At 41.3% G+C, this 19,856-nt stretch overlaps 1 annotated feature.

Annotated features, from left to right (window-relative positions):
- Positions 14,168-14,368: a silencer, noted in NCBI's record as "peak3082 fragment used in MPRA reporter construct". NCBI's record gives its function as "represses an SCP1 promoter by STARR-seq MPRAs in K562 erythroleukemia cells {active_cell/tissue: K562}" and the evidence as "EXISTENCE:reporter gene assay evidence [ECO:0000049][PMID:32103011]".

Below are 19,856 nucleotides of genomic sequence, written 5' to 3' on the forward strand. Positions count from 1 at the left end.
CTTTAAAACAATGTACACGTGAGTGGCTGTCCACAGCTTGCTAGAACCAGGGTTTCAGGCTTTTGTCTCCTACGTAGTTCACGGGATTGACCATTCATTTGATTAGACCAGACTTAGTAATTGGAGGCATGATCTTCCAAGACAGGATCTAAGTGTCTGCTTATAACTTCTACTTATTTGAAACTGCTCTTTTTTTATTTTGGAAAAATCTGCCCCTTCCTCCCTCCCAACCTCTCCTTCTTGTAATCTTCCACTTACTGAGCACTTAATATATTTTAGACTTAGAGCTTGGTCTTGTAGAAAAAAAAAGAGTGTAAGTGTTTGCCCATAAGAAATGTATGATCTAATTGGAGAGCTAACTAAGTACACTTACAGTTAGAATTCAAAGGAATGTAGGATATGTGCTGTGTGTGGTCTTAAGAGCCAGAGTGTGGGTCACAGATACTTTGTGAGCACTGAAGAAGGCATATGGTGTGCATTAGAAATATAATGATAAATAAGATATAATCCCTGACCATGGTATTAATTTCCAGGCTATTAAGGAAGACTGGCATGTAAATGTATCATTATAAAATTAACAGTAGTATTAAGAAAAATGCTACAGAAGGTCAGATGTGTAGGATTTCCCTCAATTAGGAATTCAGTGGTGGCTTTGTGAAGACTCTGAAGCTGAACCATTGTTGATTTAACTTAACTATAATGCAGCACTTAACATGTGCCAAACAAAGCTCTAGACACTGTCCATATATTAGCTCATTTAATCCTCATAACAATCCTATACGGCAACTACTATTATTACCTCCATATTACCAATAAGAAAACTGAGGCACGGAGAGGTTAAGTAACTTGTCCAAGACTACACAACTTGTAAGAGTTGGAGTTCAGATTTACGCTCAGGCAGTCTGGTTCCAGAGTGTAGTGGCTAGGCTGCATGGCTACTGGCATTCAAAAAACACCACAAATAGAATTGGAAGGCAAACCATAATCTGGCAAAATACTTTCAGCATGCATAACAGAGTTAGTTCCATGACATTTTTTTTCAGATTACTTTGCAAAAGTTAAATACACCAAAAGAAAAATGAGAAAAGAACACTAAAAGGCAATTCACAAAAGAAGAGAAGTAAATGATTACCAAATATATGGAAATGTTTAACTTCACTAATAAGAAACGCAAAATAAAACAAAATCTTGATTTCACCCACAAAATTGGAAGATATTTCATTTAGTTATTACTATGGCCTTTCTGAGAACAATTTGGCAATTTGCATCAAATCCTTAGAGAGTTGCATATCTTTTGATTCAGCAAAAACATCTTTAAGAATATATACAAAGGAAATTAAAATTCATGTTCAAACAATTTCATCAGTAAGGATATTCATCACAGTATTATTTGTAACTATGTAAAATTGGAAGTAGTATAAATATCCAACAATAGAGAAACAAATAGAGAACCAATTAAATAAGTCACGGCACTGCCACACAATAGACTTCTATGTACCCAATGCCGCGTAATAGTGAAGGATGATATTAAATGACACAGGAAATTATTCATAATTATGATTAAGTAAAAACGATTATGTTATAAAATAATAGGGCATATTTCCATTTTTATAAAAACTTTATGTAAGTATAGAAAAAAATGTCAGTACTGCTCATCTCTGGGTGGCAATATAATGGAAGATTGTTTATGTTCTTCATTTTGCTTATCTGAATCTTCTGTTTTCTTTAAACTTAAAATATTTTGCCTTTATAATAAGGGAAAATGAGTAAGCTTTTTTCTTGAGGTGAATTATTTATGTGAAAAAGGAGTGGGGCAGACATCTAGGCAGAAGATATAACGTGAACGGTATGGCTTGGGTGTGCTTTGTGGGGAACAAGTACGTGTTTTGAGAACAGGTGAGAGACAGAGAGCAATTGCTTTGTGTGCCATGCTAAGGAGCACAGGGTTGGTTCTGAAGATGAGCCACTGACGGGTGTGGAGCAGGAAGGCAGAGGGAGATGGCCAAAGGTCCATTCCAGAACCATCACGTTGCAGGCGAGTGGCCTGGGAAAGCCTGGCAAAGAGCCCTGGGGTAAGTCTTTGCCGTGGTGGAGAAAGAGATGGTGAATGTCTGATGCAGATCAACAGTAATAGGGGATGGCCTGGTACAGTGACTCAGGCCTGTAATCCCAGCACTTTGGGAGGCCAAGGTGGGTGGATTGCTTGAGGTCAGGAGTTCAAGACCAGCCTGGGCAATATGGTGAAACCCTGTCTCTACTAAAAATAAAAAAATTAGCTGGGCATGGTGGTGCACACCTATAATCCCAGCTACCGGGAGGCTGAGGCACCAGAATTGCTTGAACCTGGGAGGCTGAGATCCATGCCACTGCACTCCAGCTGGGCGACAAAGCAAGACTCCGTCTCAAAACAAACAAACAAACAAACCAAATGAAACAGTAATAGGGGAGTGGAGGTGATGAATTTAGAGAAACAAAACATTTAACAGGCAATATAGAAGGTGAGCCTTAGGAGGTGAACTCATCAAGACTCGGCAAATGATTACCAGGTGGCAGAAGAGAAGCCTCAATTAACACTTAGATTTCTGACTACGGTTTCAAGTGGATGGTGGTATCTTCGCTAAGACTTGTAACACAGAAGAAGGAATCAGATTGCTTGGGAAAGATCATATGTTCTGTTCCAGACAGATTGAACTTGAGTTTCCTCTGACACTGAAGATGATAAATTTGGCAGTTCAGAAGACACATTTCCAATATTGGTGACCATGTAAGGTTTAATCTGAGAGGTTAAGAAAGGGAGATAAGAAAGAAAATAAAAGATGAATAGAACTTCTACAAGGCTCCATGTTATATGCAAATGAAGACAGAGGCAAGAGACCTCCAAAAAAGTCCAGACTGGCTGAAATACAGTTTGTGAGGGAGAGCAGTTGAAGATAATTCTGGAAAATTTAGAGCTAGACTACAAAATTCTGTTTTGTTTTGTTTTTCTTTTTTTCTGAGGTGGTGTCTCCCACTGTCACCCAGGCTGGAGTGCAGTGGCACGATCTCAGCTCACTACAACCTCTGCCTCCTGGGTTCAAGCGATTCTCCTGCCTCAGCCTCCCAAGTAGCTGGGAATACAGGCACACACCACCACGCCTAACTAATTTTTGTATTTTTAGTAGAGATGGGGTTTCACCATGTTGGCCAGGATGGTCTCAATCTCTTGACCTTGTGATCTGCCCTCCTCGGCCTCCCAAGGAGCTGGGATTACAGGCGTGAGCCACTGCGCCTGGCTACAAAATTATTTTAATGTTTTCTGTTTTTTCGTTTTGTTTGCTTAGTGCTATAGGAAATAAAGCTCTTTTGAGGCATTTTGGACCACAGACATCACACAATGGAAGTCGTGCTAACAATATTGCCAATGGTGTGCAACAAAATGAAAATATTTGCAGCTACCATTTAAAAAACACCTACTGTTTAGACGTTTTAAACACTGAGAATCAAGCAATAGTCTCATTTACGACTCACAACAATTTTGTGAGGGAGGCATTATCACTCCCACTTTATAGATGAGGAAGTGAGCCTCTCTGTGGCTCATTTTCCTCAGGGTCACACAGCCTGTAGGTGGCAGAGGCTTTCAAACTCAGGTCAGTTAGAGACCAGTAGGCTGTACAGGAAATGGGGGAAGCCAGGGAAAGCAGGAGGAAGCTGAGACGTGACTAGAAGGATTTAAGGTACCTAACAAGGCCTCTTTGAGACATAAAATTTGAACTGAGATCTGATTGATAATGAGAAGCCATGATAATAATGTGAAGATCAGCAAGAAGAACCCAGGCCCTGGAAACAGCTTTTCCAAATACCAGACAGATAAGGCTGCGTGTGACCGAGGACTAGAAAGAACACCAGTGCATGGAAACAGAGAGGGCAAGGTGCCATTAGGGTGTGAAATGAGGTCTCACAGGAAGACAGGACATGCAGGCTGGATAATAGATTTGCGTTTACTCAGAGTGCATGGGGAATCCACTAGAAGGTCTTGGATTGTGTGACATAATTGTGTGACATGATCTCATCAAGAATTAGCTACATAAACAGGGGAGTAGGGTGAGAGTCAAGGAGGAAATTCTATGAATAGCAGGAGCTTATGGGATGGCACAATATTGAAAATAATTCTGTAGAGGTAGAAGAAAAGTTTCCTGTAGAAAACAGGTCCCCAACCCCTGGGTCATGGACAGGTACCAGTCCGTGGCCTGTTAGGAACTGGGCCGCACAGCAGGAGGTGAGCGGTGGGTGAGTCAGCATGACCACCTGAGCTCTGTCTCCCGTCAGATCAGCAGTAGCATTAGATTCTCATAGGAGCACGAACTCTATTGTGAACCACGCATGTGAGGGACCTAGGTTTCAAGCTCCTTGTGAGAATCTAATGCCTGATGATCTGAGGTGGAACGGTTTCATCCTAAAACCATATCATCCCCCATCCCCTCACCACACACCATTCCCACACCCTGCTCCATGGAAAAATTGTCTTCCTCAAAATTGGTCCCTGGTGCCAAAAATGTTGGGGACCGCTGCTGTAGAAGATGATGAGGCTGGCAGTCAGACACTTGGAAGATCTTGGCTAAGAATTTTGAACTTTGTTTGACAGAGAAAACCGAAGAATTTTCAGCAGAGCAGTGACATAATTAGATTTGCATTTTAGAGACCTCCCCACAGCAGCTCTGTGGATAACAGAGGGGCTGACATGGGAGTGAGAGGTTAGGGGAGTTGGATGAGTGCTAGGAGACCAGTAGGCTGTACAGGAAATGAGGGAAGCCAGAGATGGCAGGAGGAGGCTGAGAGGGAGAATATTTGAGAGGGATTAAGATGGGGCCGGGCATGGTGGCTCATGCCTGTAATCCCAGCACTTTGGGAGGCCAAGGCGGGCAGATCACTTGAGGTCAGGAGTTCGAGACCAGCATGGCCAATGTGGTGAAACCCCGTCTTTACTAACAATACAAAAAATAGTCGGGCGTGATGGCGCATGCCTGTAATCCTAGTTAGTCAAGAGGCTGAGGCAGGAGAATCGCTGGAACCTGGAAGGTGGAGGCTGCAGTGAGCTGAGATCACACCACTGCACTCCAGCCTGGGCGACTTTCAAGATATCAGCAGTGTATATAAAGAGGCATTCAGGGAAAGTTCTGTTTTTCTGGCATAACTGAGTGGATGATGTCAATTAGAATATAGAAAGCAGGTTTTCAAGAAAAAAATGGTGAGTCCACTTTGGATATAGTGACTGATATATTTGGAGGTCATCCAAGTGTAGGTGTTCTGGAGATAAGGTGGAAATAAGGGTCGGTTTAGCAGATTTCTGTATCAGAGATGAAGATGTGGGAATTATTAATCTGTAGGTGATAACCTGAAGCCTTGGGTATGGAGATAGTCACCAGGGGCAAGTGTCATAAGAATAGACCCAGGCAACTGAGGAATATATCCTTGGGAGCATGCTGACATTTTGGGGCTGAACAGAGGAAAAATGGACTGTGAAGTAGATTAAGAGGGACTACAGAAGGTTATAGAAAAAAGAGAGTGGTTAAGTGCTCTAGGATACATGGGTTTAGTCTTCTACAGTTGTAGGGCAAACTGCCTGATCATTGTGTCCAAAAATGACATCATCAGTGCCCCAGATCTTGGTTTCTAAATAATATTTCAGCCTTGGCTGATTCCAAAGCTGGGGCAGAGAAAGTACAAAGTGAACCTGGTATGTCTTATTGTGCCAGAAAGCAAAAAAGTGTTCAAAGATTAATGGGATCACATCAAAAGGACACAGGAAGCCACAAGAACTGGCTTGAAGGGATCTTTGTTGTCTGAATTGGAGACAGTTGAGCAACAAAAATGATAATAATAAGTAAATAAAACAGGGAGAGTCCTTGATCCATGATGATATGAGAAAGGGAGAGAGTGACAGAGAGACAGAGCTCACACAAAAGAAGGGGGCAGACATTCTTTACAATAAAATATGAGAGAAAGATAGAATTAGGAAATCTTGAGAGGCCGAGGCAGGTGGATCACCTGAGGTCAGGAGTTCAAGACCAGCCTGATCAATATGGTGAAACTCCGTCTCTACTAAAAATACAAAAAAAATTAGCCACGTGTGGTGGCAGGCGCCTGTCTGTAGTTCCAGCTACTTGGGAGGCTAAGACAGGAGAATTGCTTGAACCAGGGAGGCGGAGATTGCAGTGAGCCAAGATCGCATCACTGCACTCCAGCCAGGGCGACAGAGCAAGACTCTGTCTCAAAAAAATAAAAAAAAAGAAAATCACCATTTTGTAATGTAATAAGTGATTTTAAGCAAATATTGCCAATAGATGCTAAAACTATTAGGTTGTTAGGAAATAGATTATTCACACCTACACATAGTATCACCACAGATTATCTATTAGTTACAAAAGTAAAAACGTATTTTTATAATGGACAGATCTTGTGGATAGAAAGTATCAAATTTAGCATCACAAATAAAGGCAAAATGGTCAGTATGTTCCTCCTTATATGATGCAATGAGAAGCATATAGTATTACCTATGTCATATTTTTGCCATATGTATAACCTGGGTCTAACCCAGGTTATGAGAAAACAAATCTACAACACAACTTGCCTGAACTCTTTGAAAGTTTCAATGTCTTCAAAGATTAAAAAAAGAAAGAAAGAAAGAAAAAGAGTATGGGGAAGGTGAGTGTTTGAGATTAAAAGAAACTGGAGACATGACAACCAAATGCAAAACATGAAACTTTGTTGGATCCCAGATTTTTGAAGATGATAAAAGATCACTTTGGAATAACTGGAGAAATTTGCATGTGGACTGCATATAGACAATTTAAATCAATCTTAGGGACTTCCTGATTCCAGCCCAATTGCAGCCCCGTTCAAGCAACAGGTAAAAAGCTGAACAAACTGAAAAATAAACAACTCTTCTCAGATTCATCAGACAAGTGAGGTTATAGGGCAAATCACTGCCCCCTATAATTGAAAAGACAGACAAGAAACCCACAGACAGAGAAGCACAACTTACCATAACAGAAACCAAGGAGCAAAAACCTCCATGGGAACCAGTGCTGGACAGGAAAACCTAAACTATGATTGACAAGTTGCCGGAGGCTCAATCTGGAGAAGTCTGAGAGCCAAAAACTCCAGAGGGATCTGGTCATAGAGACATCCCCACACTTTTGTGAGTTTTACACCCAGGAGCTTCAGCAGGTTCTCACAGTGAATATGAGGGAAAAATCCCCTGGTACTTCCAGAACCGTTTTGAAATATACCAGAACATTCTATTCTTCTTAACAAGGTCTTTCCTCAGGAGAAACTATTTAACCAGAACCTAGCCTGCCAAGATTTTATCAGAGCCTAACTGAGCTGGAAAAATGGTAAGTTGACCCTAACTAACCTTCTACATGGGAAAAAGGGAGTGGCTAACTGTAGCCCACTGTAGTCACCCTGACCAACTAAGGGGGCATGGGGCCACGGGGTGTGAGAAGCATATGTGAAGTTTGCAGTACGGAGATACCAGCTCACTACGAACCTGAGACCTATTCACAGGGCAGCGAACTCTTCCCCTTCCTCCACACCTCAACACCGTACTATTAGAGGCCTATTTACAGCAGTTCCTTTTACCCATGACATCATGTACGGCTGTTACAAAAAAATACAAGGCATACTAAAAGACAAAAACACAGTTTGAAGAGACAGAGAAAGTATCAGAACCAGGTTCAGATATGACAGGGATGTTGGAACTATCCAACTTGGAATTTAAAACAACTATAATTAATGTGCTAAGGGCTCTAATGGATAACATAGACAGCATGCAAGAACAGATGGGAAATATAAGCAGGGAGATGGAAATATTAAGAAAGAATCAAATAGAAATGCTAGAAACCCAAAACACCAAAAGAAATGAAGAATGCTTAGTAGAGTGAACACAGCCAAGGAAAGAATTGCTTGAGACCATCACAGTAGAAACTTACAAAACTGAAAAGCAAAGAGAAAAAAAGGCTGAAAAAACCCACCCAAGAATAGAATATCTAAGAACTGTGGAACAACTATAATAGGTGTGACATTTGTGTAATGGGAATACTAGAAGGAAAAGAAGGAGAGAAAGGAACAGTGAAAATATTTGAAAGAATAATGCCTAAGAATTCACCCCAATTCATGTCATACACCAATTCACAGGTGCAGGGAGCTTAGAGGACACCAAACAGGATAAATACCAAAAACAAAACAAAACAAAACAAAACCTAGGCATATCATATACAAATTTCAGAAAATCAATGGGAATGAAAGAAATCTCAAAAGAAGCCAGAGGAAAAAACACCTTATCTGCAGAGAAGCAAAAATAAAAATTACATCCAACACCATGCAACAAGAAGAGAGCAGAGTGAAATAGTTAAAAGTGTTGTGAAGGAAAAAAAAATACCCAAGAACCTAAAATCAATCTTACCTTTTTTGAATGTGATAATGGTATAGTAGTTAGGAGAATATTTGGTTCTTAGGAGGCAGATGCTGAAATAGGGGGTAATCATAACATCTGCAACTTTGCTTTCAAATATATAGAGGAGTGTTTTCAATTGGGGAATTTAAAAAATATGTCTCTTAGGGTTATAATAACTAAAATAAAAAATTACTGAAATGATAAAAACAAAATAAAACATTGAATTGTTAAAATCTCATTTTCTGATCTGAGGACCATAGGAGACCATTTCCATTTCTCCAAAATCTGAAGAGCCTATCCCAAGAAGGAAATAGTTTACTGATGAAGATAACGTAGACTCTAATGCTAGGTAGATTTAATAGAATCACAGAAATGGTTTAGATCCAGCAATCCCACTTCTATGTATTTACCCTAACAAAATGAAAACCTGTATTCACACAAAAGTGTACATACAAATGTTTATGGCTCTATTTATAGTCATCCGATACTGGACACATCTCGAAAGTTTTCCAGTGGGTGAATGGATAAATGAATTGTTTACATTCATACAATGAAATTCATATCCAACAATAAAAATGAACAATTCATAGATGCAACAGGATGGATGAATTGCAAAAGCATTATACAAAGTTAAAGACGTTAGATTCAAAAGGTAACATGCTATCTGATTCTATTTATTATGACATTCTTGAAAAGACAAGACTACATGACAGAACAGATCAACAGTTGCCAGCAGTCAGCTACAAAGAGATAGCACAAGGGAGAATTCTGGGGTGATGACTGTTCTGTACCCTGATTCTGATTGTGGTGGTGATTCCATGAATCGATACATGTGTTAAAATTCTTAGAACAGTACACCAAAAAAGTGGTCAAAATTACTGTCCTTAATACAGTAAAAAGGAAAAGAAATAAAAACTCTGTGACACACACTCTAAAATTTTAATAACACATTCAGAGACAAAAATATTAACCCGTTCTAATAAATAGAGTATATTTAAATGATATTAAAATAGGACATTATTATAATCTGTAAAAATTCACCATGCTATACGCTTCTGATTTGCTTACCTTTTTTTTTTTTTTTTTTTTTGAGATGGAATTTCGCTCTTGTTGCCCAGGCTGGAGTGTAATGGTATGATATCAGCTCACTACAACCTCCGCCTCCCAAGTTCAAGCAGTTCTCCTGCCTCAGCCTCCCAGGTAGCTGGGATTACAGGCGTGTGCCACCAAGCCCAGCTAATTTTGTATTCTTAGTAGAGATGGGGTTTCACCATGTTGGTCAGGCTGGTCTTGAACTCCTGACCTCAAGTGATCCACCTGCCTCAGCCTCCCAAAGTGCTAGGATTACAGGCATAACCACTGCACCTGGCCTTGCTTGCTTGCTTTTTTGAATGTGTTATATTTCAATACAAAGTTTACAAATACAAACAAATTTGATTTATGTGTGCCAGTGGATGTGCTATTTTACAGGTGAAAACAATGCCTTAACTTATTGAACAACATGTTACAAATATCCTTGGCAGGTCTGAAGTTGGGGCATGATTTCAAACGACTGTAACGCTCTTTTTGTTACTCCAAACTTTCTTTTACTTCAGGGCATAGGGGCATAATCACCAGCTTCCTAAGTTTATGGCATGAAGATATGGATGATTCAAATAATACTCTGGTTTCAGCTGTTTATCATTTAAAATATCACATGACATCTGTGTCTCTGATGACATAGCAACCACCACTTCCCCTTGCCCTTTGAAAAATTCCATTATTTTGCACAGTAAAAATTGAACTGGAAGTGTTGGTCTGCCCAAGTAATGGTGCAATGCCTGATGGCCTTCAGATTCTAGAATTGAATAATAATGCAATGAGACTTGCATTTATATCATGTTTTATATTTTTATGGGGTGGACAGAAGGAAAAGGAAATTAATTGATCATATATTGAATGCCTGACATTCCAGACGGCACCCTTCCAGACGGCAGGGTGGACTCTGCTCTTAAGAAAATTACACAAGAGGGTGAGTTGCTGTTTATGGGTGGACAACTTTTTTTTTTTTTTTGCTGCGTGGTTTGGGCCACAGAGCTTCTGAGGCGTGTGCATATCCCAGGAATGTGAGATGTTTGGCTCCCAGGAAGCGATTACCTCAGTGGTTGGCAGATACCATTAGTCTAAATACCATAATACCTCAGCCTTAGGAACAGTGAGTTCCATAAAAATCTTATTGCTTGAAATATTCAGTCTAAATTCTACAAAGTGATGGAAATTTGTCCTCAAGTGACAACCTCCTTACCACAGGACGTATGGACTCATATACTTGGATTTCTTCCATGGACAATTTCCAGCTGTCCTACCTTTTGATGATTTATTTCAGATACCTTCCAGGCTTTACCTAGGAACTCCACCATGAAAAGACAGCAGGAATTCTAGGGAGTTGTCATGGCAACCCCTAGATATCATCTTCAGAATGCCCCATGGCTGTTGGGTCCAGATTTATCACAATTATATTTCTATATGGAAGAGGAGCTCCTGCATAAGCAACCAGACCCCAGTAAATGGATCTAATTTGTAATTTTATAGATCACTCTAACACTCCCGGTAGCAAGATGTTAAGGAACCGCCCTTGCATGTTGTCTTATTGGTGGCCGCTTGTCATATTTACAAGGGCCTGTATTTCAAATGCCACTGGGGGAGGAAATCTATCCAATCTTTGCCTTTTGTCAAAGAAAAACTTACAGTCAAGTTTTAGGAAGGCATTTGATGAGAAATTGGGATTAGCTGCGTTTTTCTCCCTAAAGTAAAGAGAGGAAGCTGAGTACTTATTTCAGAGACTCTCATTTTTATTTCTCTTTGTCTCATGCTCCTTGCTTGAAACAATGGCAGCACAAAGCCCAGTTACACAGTATCTGCTTCCAAGCGGGATGGCGCTGGGGCTGTCCAGCATCTTGTGCAGTGGGTGTTTGTCTAGCATTGTCATTGCAATTTTTATTGCATCTCATGATGTGCACAGATGTGCTTGGTAAGCATCCCAAGAGAAAAAGAGACTCTGCTCAATATCCCTGTTCCCAAATGACACTACCTTATAGAATCACTTTCTAGGCTACCTCCTTTGGGATCATGTAACCATTTAAAGTCTCTGGATTTTGGTGTTTTAACAAGGGTTTAATTACTAAGGTAAGTGTATGCACCTGCTAAGGCATTCCTAATTATTTGATAATGGTGCAATCTTTCTCAATACAGCCAGTTTTGTGGTGTAAGCTACACTAATGAAGCACACTGAGAGAACACAGTCCCCCAATGTTGGGGAAGCTTATTTAAATTAAATAAATTTGCAAAGGACTGAATTTTTACTACTGGCCTCAACAATTATGCATTGGTATTTCATGCTGGAAGCCAGTATGCACAGTGTCAGAATAAGGCACACTTCCTATTACTTTTGCTCTTCAAAGTGTTTTTAAGTGAGATCGTGTCACTTTTAAAATTGTATGTTTTTCAGATTGCTTCACATATGCCAACTTGTCCCACCCTGTCTAAAAGCCAAAAAACTAAAAACTAGCTTTTTTGTTGTCACTTGGCAAAAACTGATAAAAACACTATTTGACTATGCTGAAAGTGTTTTTCTCTTTTCCACCTGATTCTTACCATTGCCACATGTGGTCTGTAGTGGTTTGGTAATAAGATCTTTGCTATAACATCTGCAAATTAGCACCTTGCTTTGCACCCTCCCTGAAAACTTGCTGATGGTTTGCAATTGTAGTAAGTCAGAGTTGACACTATATCCAAGTGTTTCAAACTTTGTTGTTTTGCACTAATAAAAGAAGGTTCCAACAGGCAGATTTCCAAGTCACTGTGAGGAGCTAGTTAGCAAAATACTACGTCTCACTTCTCAAGCATGCACATGCGTTTTAATACATAAAGTTACTTTGGGAAGAAAGACTTGCTGGTCTAAACTGGTTCTGTCTATTCTTCTCTGTTCCTAGCCATCTGCTTTTTTGTTCAAATATTTTAGTGTATCAGGCTGGTTCACCAATTTGCAGAAGACTATCATGAATGCAATTTTCCAAGTAGAGATAAAAGAAAGTGCTTAATCATTTAATTTTCCCAAATGTGTCTGTAAACCAAATTGATTTTTAAAATTTTCCAATAAAATAAGAGCATTATTTTAAATACATCAATGACCTGCCATTAAGGTTTTAAACTATTTACATATGACAGCCAAGACAAATGAGCAATGGGTGAGAACATACACAAATTAAAAACCCTTGCAAATAAGGGTTGAGGGATTAATAGAGTGTTCAGGGGTGGTGAGGACCCAATGTCAAAGTCTGCTTAAGGACAGCTTTCAAGCGCGCCAGGGGTCAGATGCCTCCCACGCCGCCATAGCTAACACACAGGTCTAGATGACGCTGCCCCTGTTTTATCACACCATCAAACAGGGCTGGAGAATGCAACAACTGGGGACCAGTAAGAGCAAAGCAGAGGCACGGTGGGAGGGGCGCTGGGAGCAGAGAGCACAAGCTGCAGCGCCAGGCAAATCAAAAGGCGGAGGGGGCCTCCCAGCTGATTGCTCAGTGTCCTAGAGATTTCTGTTATTAATGTGGCTTGGGGCATGTACTGCTGATAATTACTGCTAGCTGGAATAATTAATAAGAATAATTGCTTGGCATGGAAAGGGAAAGGGAAGCTCTGGGAGGAGGAAGAAACAGGCTAGAGGAGCAAGAGGCTCCCCGAGCGCATTTATATAGACAGGAAGTTCAGCAGCAAGCATCCTGAGAATCGAAGAGTTGTCTGGATGCCAAGGGCAAAAGTTAAGAGATATCGAGTGAGGCCAAATTCGACAGTCTCATCTTGGAATGCAGTGGAGAAGAAGCCTGCCATGGCTTCGGTAAGGGGGGACTCCCTTTGGAAATAATAGGTGAAGGTTGTGAAAAAAAGATACATTGTGAAGGGAATTAAGAAGTGGCCTTAAATGAGCAGATAAGTCTGTGTATCTGGTATAAACCCAATCATTACAGGAGGAGAGCAGCAAGAAAGGAAGACAAGTAAAGAATGATGCCCCAGTGAGAGTTTGGGAGAGTTTATCCCAGCTTGAAGGAAGAAAATTGTCCATTAGAAGCTAAGCATGGGTGTTGACAGTGTGTAAAATAACCACAATTCTGATGTAATAGGGTAAATTTTCTCAACACTATGTAGAGAGTTGCCAACATAGTTCTTGCTATTGTAGCTTTCTATAAATTACACCTAAATATTCCCCCAAAGGCAGGACAAACATATGCTTAGCAAAACGTAAAGAGGCGAAGAGACTGGATGTGAAAACTTAAGTGTAAGCAGCAGATGGAATCTGGCGGCCAGAATTCTGATAATGACATGCAGAAGGAGCAGGGCCAAGCCAAGCGCTGGGTGTTCACCATGACCCTCTGCAGGAGACAGGGCACCATGTGTAATGTTGTGTTCTGAGATAAAAGGGGCCCATAAAGGCAGAGTGACTACTTAAGATTCCTTTGTCCTATAGGAATCATACCAGAGGGGCAATTAAAGCTGAAAAAGATAAATTTACCAAATTATCCCTATCCAATATTTGATGTTAAGCATTGCATTTCAAAGGATAATGCCCTTAACCCTCTTTCCATCTATGTAACATAAATGGATTATAATTGTAAAACAAAGGAAGAAATGCTACTAACTCAGCCAATGGCAAGTATTTGGTGGTCAGGGGGGCGGGGGCTTTCCAATGTCCTACTGCTGCTCAGAGTGGGAGTGATTCTCCTCCTCCGACTCCAAGCTCCTATCAGCTTGGAGCACTAGCCCCAGCTGAATAAGGAGCTTGTATGCCCTGAGGACAGCTGTTGCTCATCTTGGATTGAGTCACATTGTGTCTGTACAGCATTTAGGGAAATCCAAAGAGCAGAACACTAAATGATTGATGCCTTTTTAAAGGATGTCACAAGAGAACCAAGTATAAATCAGTCTCCCGGTTTTAGAAGCCTGATTTAGGAATTAGGAGCCTGGTTTTAGATAGTGCCACCATGGGAGGGAATGGCTGAAAGGTACTTGGGGGAAGCTTAAGACTGATCACTATGTTTTTAGGAAGCTTTGCACATACTAACTGACCATGATATTTCTTGGTAGATGAGAAGCTGAACTAGACCTTAAAGTTGGTAACTACCCTTAGATGACCTTTCACCCTTAGCCTTGCCACAAGTTCTCCAGCCAATGGCATTGAGGAGGGGGAGATGGGATTGGTTTTATTAATCAGCAGCTGTCACAGAATTAGCAGAATCCAGAGGAAACCCTGAGCATGCCTCAGAACCCAAGGAGACCCTGCAGGTTAAACATGCACTTGGTGCTTGTTTTTTTCACGGCTTCCAAAAATGATGGTTGAGAAGCGTAAGTGCTGGCGCAAACCGCTGAGCTGGAGCAGGTGGACCTGTGAGAGCTGGGAACTGGGGCAGTGCTATAAGGGGAGGGGGGAAGAAATCCTGGTTTGGAGAAGTCCTAATTCAATACTTAAGAAAAAAAGGAAGAATACACTCAGTGCCTTTGTTATCCTGTCCAGTTGTGAAGCAGCTGGAACACTCAGCTCAATATTCTACTTTATGCTGAAGAAACAAGAGAAACTCTGTTGGCTAGGTGCAGCAGACAGCTTAGGGGCTTTGAAGTCAAATACATGGGCCTGCATCCTAGTCCATGAAGGATTCACCACAGAGCAACCTTAGACAAGCTACTTGCCTCCCTATGATATGGATAATCATACCTGGTAAGATTGGTGTCAGAATTAAAATAATGTAATATGCCTAGATCATTGCATGGCACATAAATACTCAATTTCTGATAGCTTCCACTTTTTTCATCCTTCCAAGACATTCCTAAACCTGCTTCCCTACTCTTCCTATTACCCTCTTCCTTGCCCTTTCATAAGTGATTGGATAACATACTTAATTATGAGAGTTGAAGAGGATCCCTGGCTATCTTGGTTTACGAAATTTGAGCATCAAATAATTTCTTTTTCTTTGTTCTGGTATCAGCAATTTCTGTTCTTGTTCTAACAGGGTGGTGCCTGGTCCATTCAACAAATATTTATTGAGTGCCTCCCAGCGGTCAGGAAGTGTGCCTTCTTCCAGCATGACTGATAACTTCATCTTCTCCAGATACCAAGATCAAAGCTGTTCCAGGGAGCAAGAAATTGAGGCAAATCCCCTGACCCCACAATTCTGAAGGGAGGCCTCTATAGTGCCACAGAAGGACAGTGACCTGCAGAAACAGTGGCAGGAAGAGAAGATGACCATCAGCTGGTTCGAAAAATGATCTTATCCCTCAACACTAACAGTTCTGCTGTGCTTACTACATGCCCAGCTTTGGTTTAAGTGCTTTCTGTGCATTAACTCATTTAACCCTTGTAACAAGTCTATGAGACAGAGATAATTGTCACTTCACTTTAGAAATGATGAAACTGAAAGGTAGCGAGGCTAGGGACCATGTCTAGGTCACAAAGCTAGTTTGTGGTCAAGTTGTCTGGGTCTTCCCTCTTGGCCTCTACAACACGCAGCCGCACCTGCTGTCCACTGCCATACACTTGGTACCCATCTACAAAGTGAGGCGGGTGAACTGCATCACCCCCATCTGTATCTCAGCTTCTCTTCAGTGACTTCTCTTCCTTGGTAAGGCTCCTCTTAGTGTTTGTTTTCATTTAATTTAGACCCTACCAAAACATTAGCTTAGGATCAGAGGATGCTATAAATATACCATTTATAGTATCCTGGAGCTGGAATAATGTGTTACCTTTCTCTAGGTTTTGGTCTAGGTAGATGTCTCCTCTTATTTCTCAGAAAAAAAGGCCCAAGATGGCTGTATTAAATTTCTGAATTATCAAGAGACCAGATTCAGCCAAAAGAAAAACCTCTGTTAATTTTCAAAGACAGTCTTTTGTTTAGCAGATTTTGAGACTCAGATGGTCTCAACCAATGCTCTGGCAGTACCCAGTCCTTTGGGACCAGCAGAGGAGGGGAATGTGAGTTTCCTGGATGCCTTAGGACATACTTCCCCCATGAATGGGGTTGCAGGGCAATCTGAAGTCTCAAGGGAACCAGTTCCCAAATATAAATTTTAACTTGTTTACCTTTAACTTGGAGCCTCTTATAATAATTCCCTTGGGATTCTGCCATTGGCACTCAATCTATCCTCATCTTCTACAGTTAGGGGCACGTCTCTTCCCAGCTATGCTAAAGGCTGCTTTACTTCCCAAATGCTTCAAAACGGAGCTAAATTGTCCCTGTCCCAGAGGAGCAAACAAAACCCTGGCAGGGAAAGGCTGCTTTCAAATCTCCTCTACCCATGTTCCGTAGGGACAAAGCCACATCAGAGGGGACCAGCACTTTAGCCTTCTTGTCTCCCCACTCAGCTGGCTGGCTCAGACCGAATAGACTTTGCTCTATTTTCCCAGCTGTAGGTCCTTTCCTTCTTCATTTCTGTTTGCTGACTGTGAGATCCCTCTCCCTTTGCAAGATGAAGGTTCAACTTTGCAGAAGCAGAAAGAGAATGGTTATGTTTAGAATGTAGGCTCATGAGGCAAAGATAAAATCTGCTTTACTTACCATATTATTTCTAGGACCTAGCAAAGTAGATGCGCAATGAATAAATGGTATCAGAAGACAGAATAATATTCTTAAAAAGTGGGGAAATAAACATTTCTGTTTACCCAATTAGAGAGATAGTGAATGGCTTAGTTAACTAAAAATATCTTCTTCTATTGCCTTATCTTGTCTTTTTTGGGGCAAAGTTGGTAGGTCTCCATCAGTACTTATGGAAATTTTTCTTAGAGGCCAGGAAAACTAGCAGCCATCCACTCCAGGGATAAACATAGGACAATGTGGTGAAAAATAGTCTGAATGTGAAGTTAGAGCATTCTGCTCATAGCTCCATATCCATGTGCCAAGGATAAATCCCTTCACTCCCCCTGGGATCTCAGTTCCCTTGTTTTTAAAATGGAAGGTTTGGTGGGGTGCAGTCACTTATGCCTGTAATCCCAGCACTTTAGGAGGCTGAGGTGGGTGAATCACTTGAACCAAGGAGTTCAAGACCACCCTAGGTAACATAGCAATACCTCATCTCTACAAAAATTACAAAAATTATCCAAGCATGGTGGTGCATGCCTGTAGTCCTAGCTAATCTGTAGGCTGAGGTGGGAGGATGGATTGAGCCTAGGGAGGTCGAGGCTATAGTGAGCCATGATTGTGCCACTGCACTCCAGCCTGGTCAACAGAGTGAGACTTTGTCTCAAACAAAAACAAAAACCACAAAACAAAACAAAACAAAAATTAGAGGGTTTGGGTCAGATGACCTGTGGCCCAGTATATCAGATAGGATGCTAACAGATGCCCATGCCAGACAAATGAACTAGAAGTGGCTTCAACAAATAATGACAAGTCCAGAGGCAGGATGGTTTCAGGGCTGGTTGGTTCAACTACAGCTTGAAGGACTAAGGTTCTCTCCTTCTTCTACTTTGCCCTCTTCTCCACAGTATGCTTTCTTCCTAGGCTGGTTCCCCTTCTGGGCCCAAAATGATGGCCACAGGTATTATAGGCAGGCAGCAACATTCAGATGAAAGAATAGAAACTTCTCTGTCTTGTATCCTTTCTCAAGAAAACCCAACAGACCTCCCTCAGGTCTAATTGGAGAGAATTGCATCACCATCACTTGGTTTAGATCCACAAGGACTTAGATACTTTGAGATACACCCCCTTGGGACGGGGAGGTCTCAGCCTTCTGTGAAGGCCAGGCCAGCTCCAAGGAGGTCTGGTAAGAAGGAAAGTAGAGAACTGTGGTTGCCTGGGAGGCCAATGGTGTCTGCTACAAATACGTAATTCAGAGAAAATAAGAAAAATGATAAGAAAGTTTAATAGAAGAAAAGAGGGCCAGGAGACAATGGAAAGGCCAGGCCTCTGTGTGAGAAGTCTTCGAAAGACAGGACTGTCACATGCCACAAATGTTTATTTAAAGCAGGCCTAGGGAACCTGCACTGCCTGCCCCTGTGTTTAACTTTCCAGCTATTGGAGCAGCAGGCTCCTTTGGGTCTCCAACTGAAGAGAGCTTATACCAATTTGTTAGGATAAGGAAGGACTTGCTCTAACAGTTCAAAGGACTCCACAGGGATCCCAAGCAGGGATTAAATCAGCTGTGCTGCCTTCTTCTACACTAGGGCAGGGAAGACGGTCCCATACCCCCTTGGTAGACCAGACCTGTACCCTGAGAATCTCAGTGTTACCTTCCATGTTCTTTTCTCCCCTTCTGGGCATTTGCAGGTGCCATTCCATCTGCCTGAAACTCCTTTCCTCCAACTTCTGGCTTATGCTTTTCAACCTTTGTCAGCCTAAGTTTCTCCTTCTTTGGGAAGCTGTCTCAGGCCTTACAGATTCTGGGTCACTCTGGTCTCATTTGCTCCACTGAATACTAACTGCACCTTATTATAATTGCCTGTTCCCTTGTCTGTCCTCCTCACTAGGTAACATATTTTTTTTTATTTTACTTTAAGTTCTGGAATGCATGTGCAGAACATGCAGATTTGTTACATAGGTATACATCTGCCATGGTGGTTTGCTGAACCTATCAGCCCGTCATCTAGGTTTTAAGCCCATCATGCATTAGGTATTTGTCGTAATGCTCTCCCCCACCTTGCCCCACAACTCCCCGACAGGCCCCAGTGTGTGATGTTCCCCTCCTTGTGTCCATGTGTTCTCATTGCTCAACTCCCACTTATGAGTGAGAACATGCAGTGTTTGGTTTTCTGTTCCTGTGTTAGTTTGCTGAGAATGATGGTTTCCAGCTCAACATACTTCTCAAGAGTAAAAACTGTGTAGTGCACATGACTATTCCTAGCACACATCTTGCATTCAATGAGAGCTCAAAAGGTGTTTGTTAAAATAAGAAATAAATATTAATAGTAGAAAGAGATGTAGAAATAAGTTAGAATTGATGGTAGAAGCTTTGAAACCACCAGTAACTTTGAACTTATTAGTGAAAACATTAAATAGTTTAGTTCTTCTCCCTCTAGGAAACTGTAGCCTGAGATGGCAGCTTTCTGTGTCTAAACTGGAATCTAAAGCATAAGAACGTGGTCTCCTATAGGTATTGGTGTGTGTGTATGTGTGTGGTAGACAGGACTGTATTGCTTTAATTTTGCTCAAGTCATATTGAATGCAATCCTTTCTATCTTCTTTTCTTAAATCTAAAATAAATCTACCCCGATGATATAAGCACTTTTCTAAGGTCAGAGGTAGAGTAGGGAACAAGAAATACTTCCTGCACTGATACTTTAAATAGGCAACTGCATGGAGCAGGGGGTGGGAAGAACACAGAAAAGAGGAGGGGATTCCCACCCTGCAGGAGGGATCCATAGGCTCTTCTCTGGCTTTTCTCCCCACTGCTCACACTTCTC

The sequence above is a fragment of the Homo sapiens genome, chromosome 18 (assembly GCF_000001405.40).
Source record: "Homo sapiens chromosome 18, GRCh38.p14 Primary Assembly".
Taxonomy (NCBI): Eukaryota; Metazoa; Chordata; class Mammalia; order Primates; family Hominidae; genus Homo; species Homo sapiens.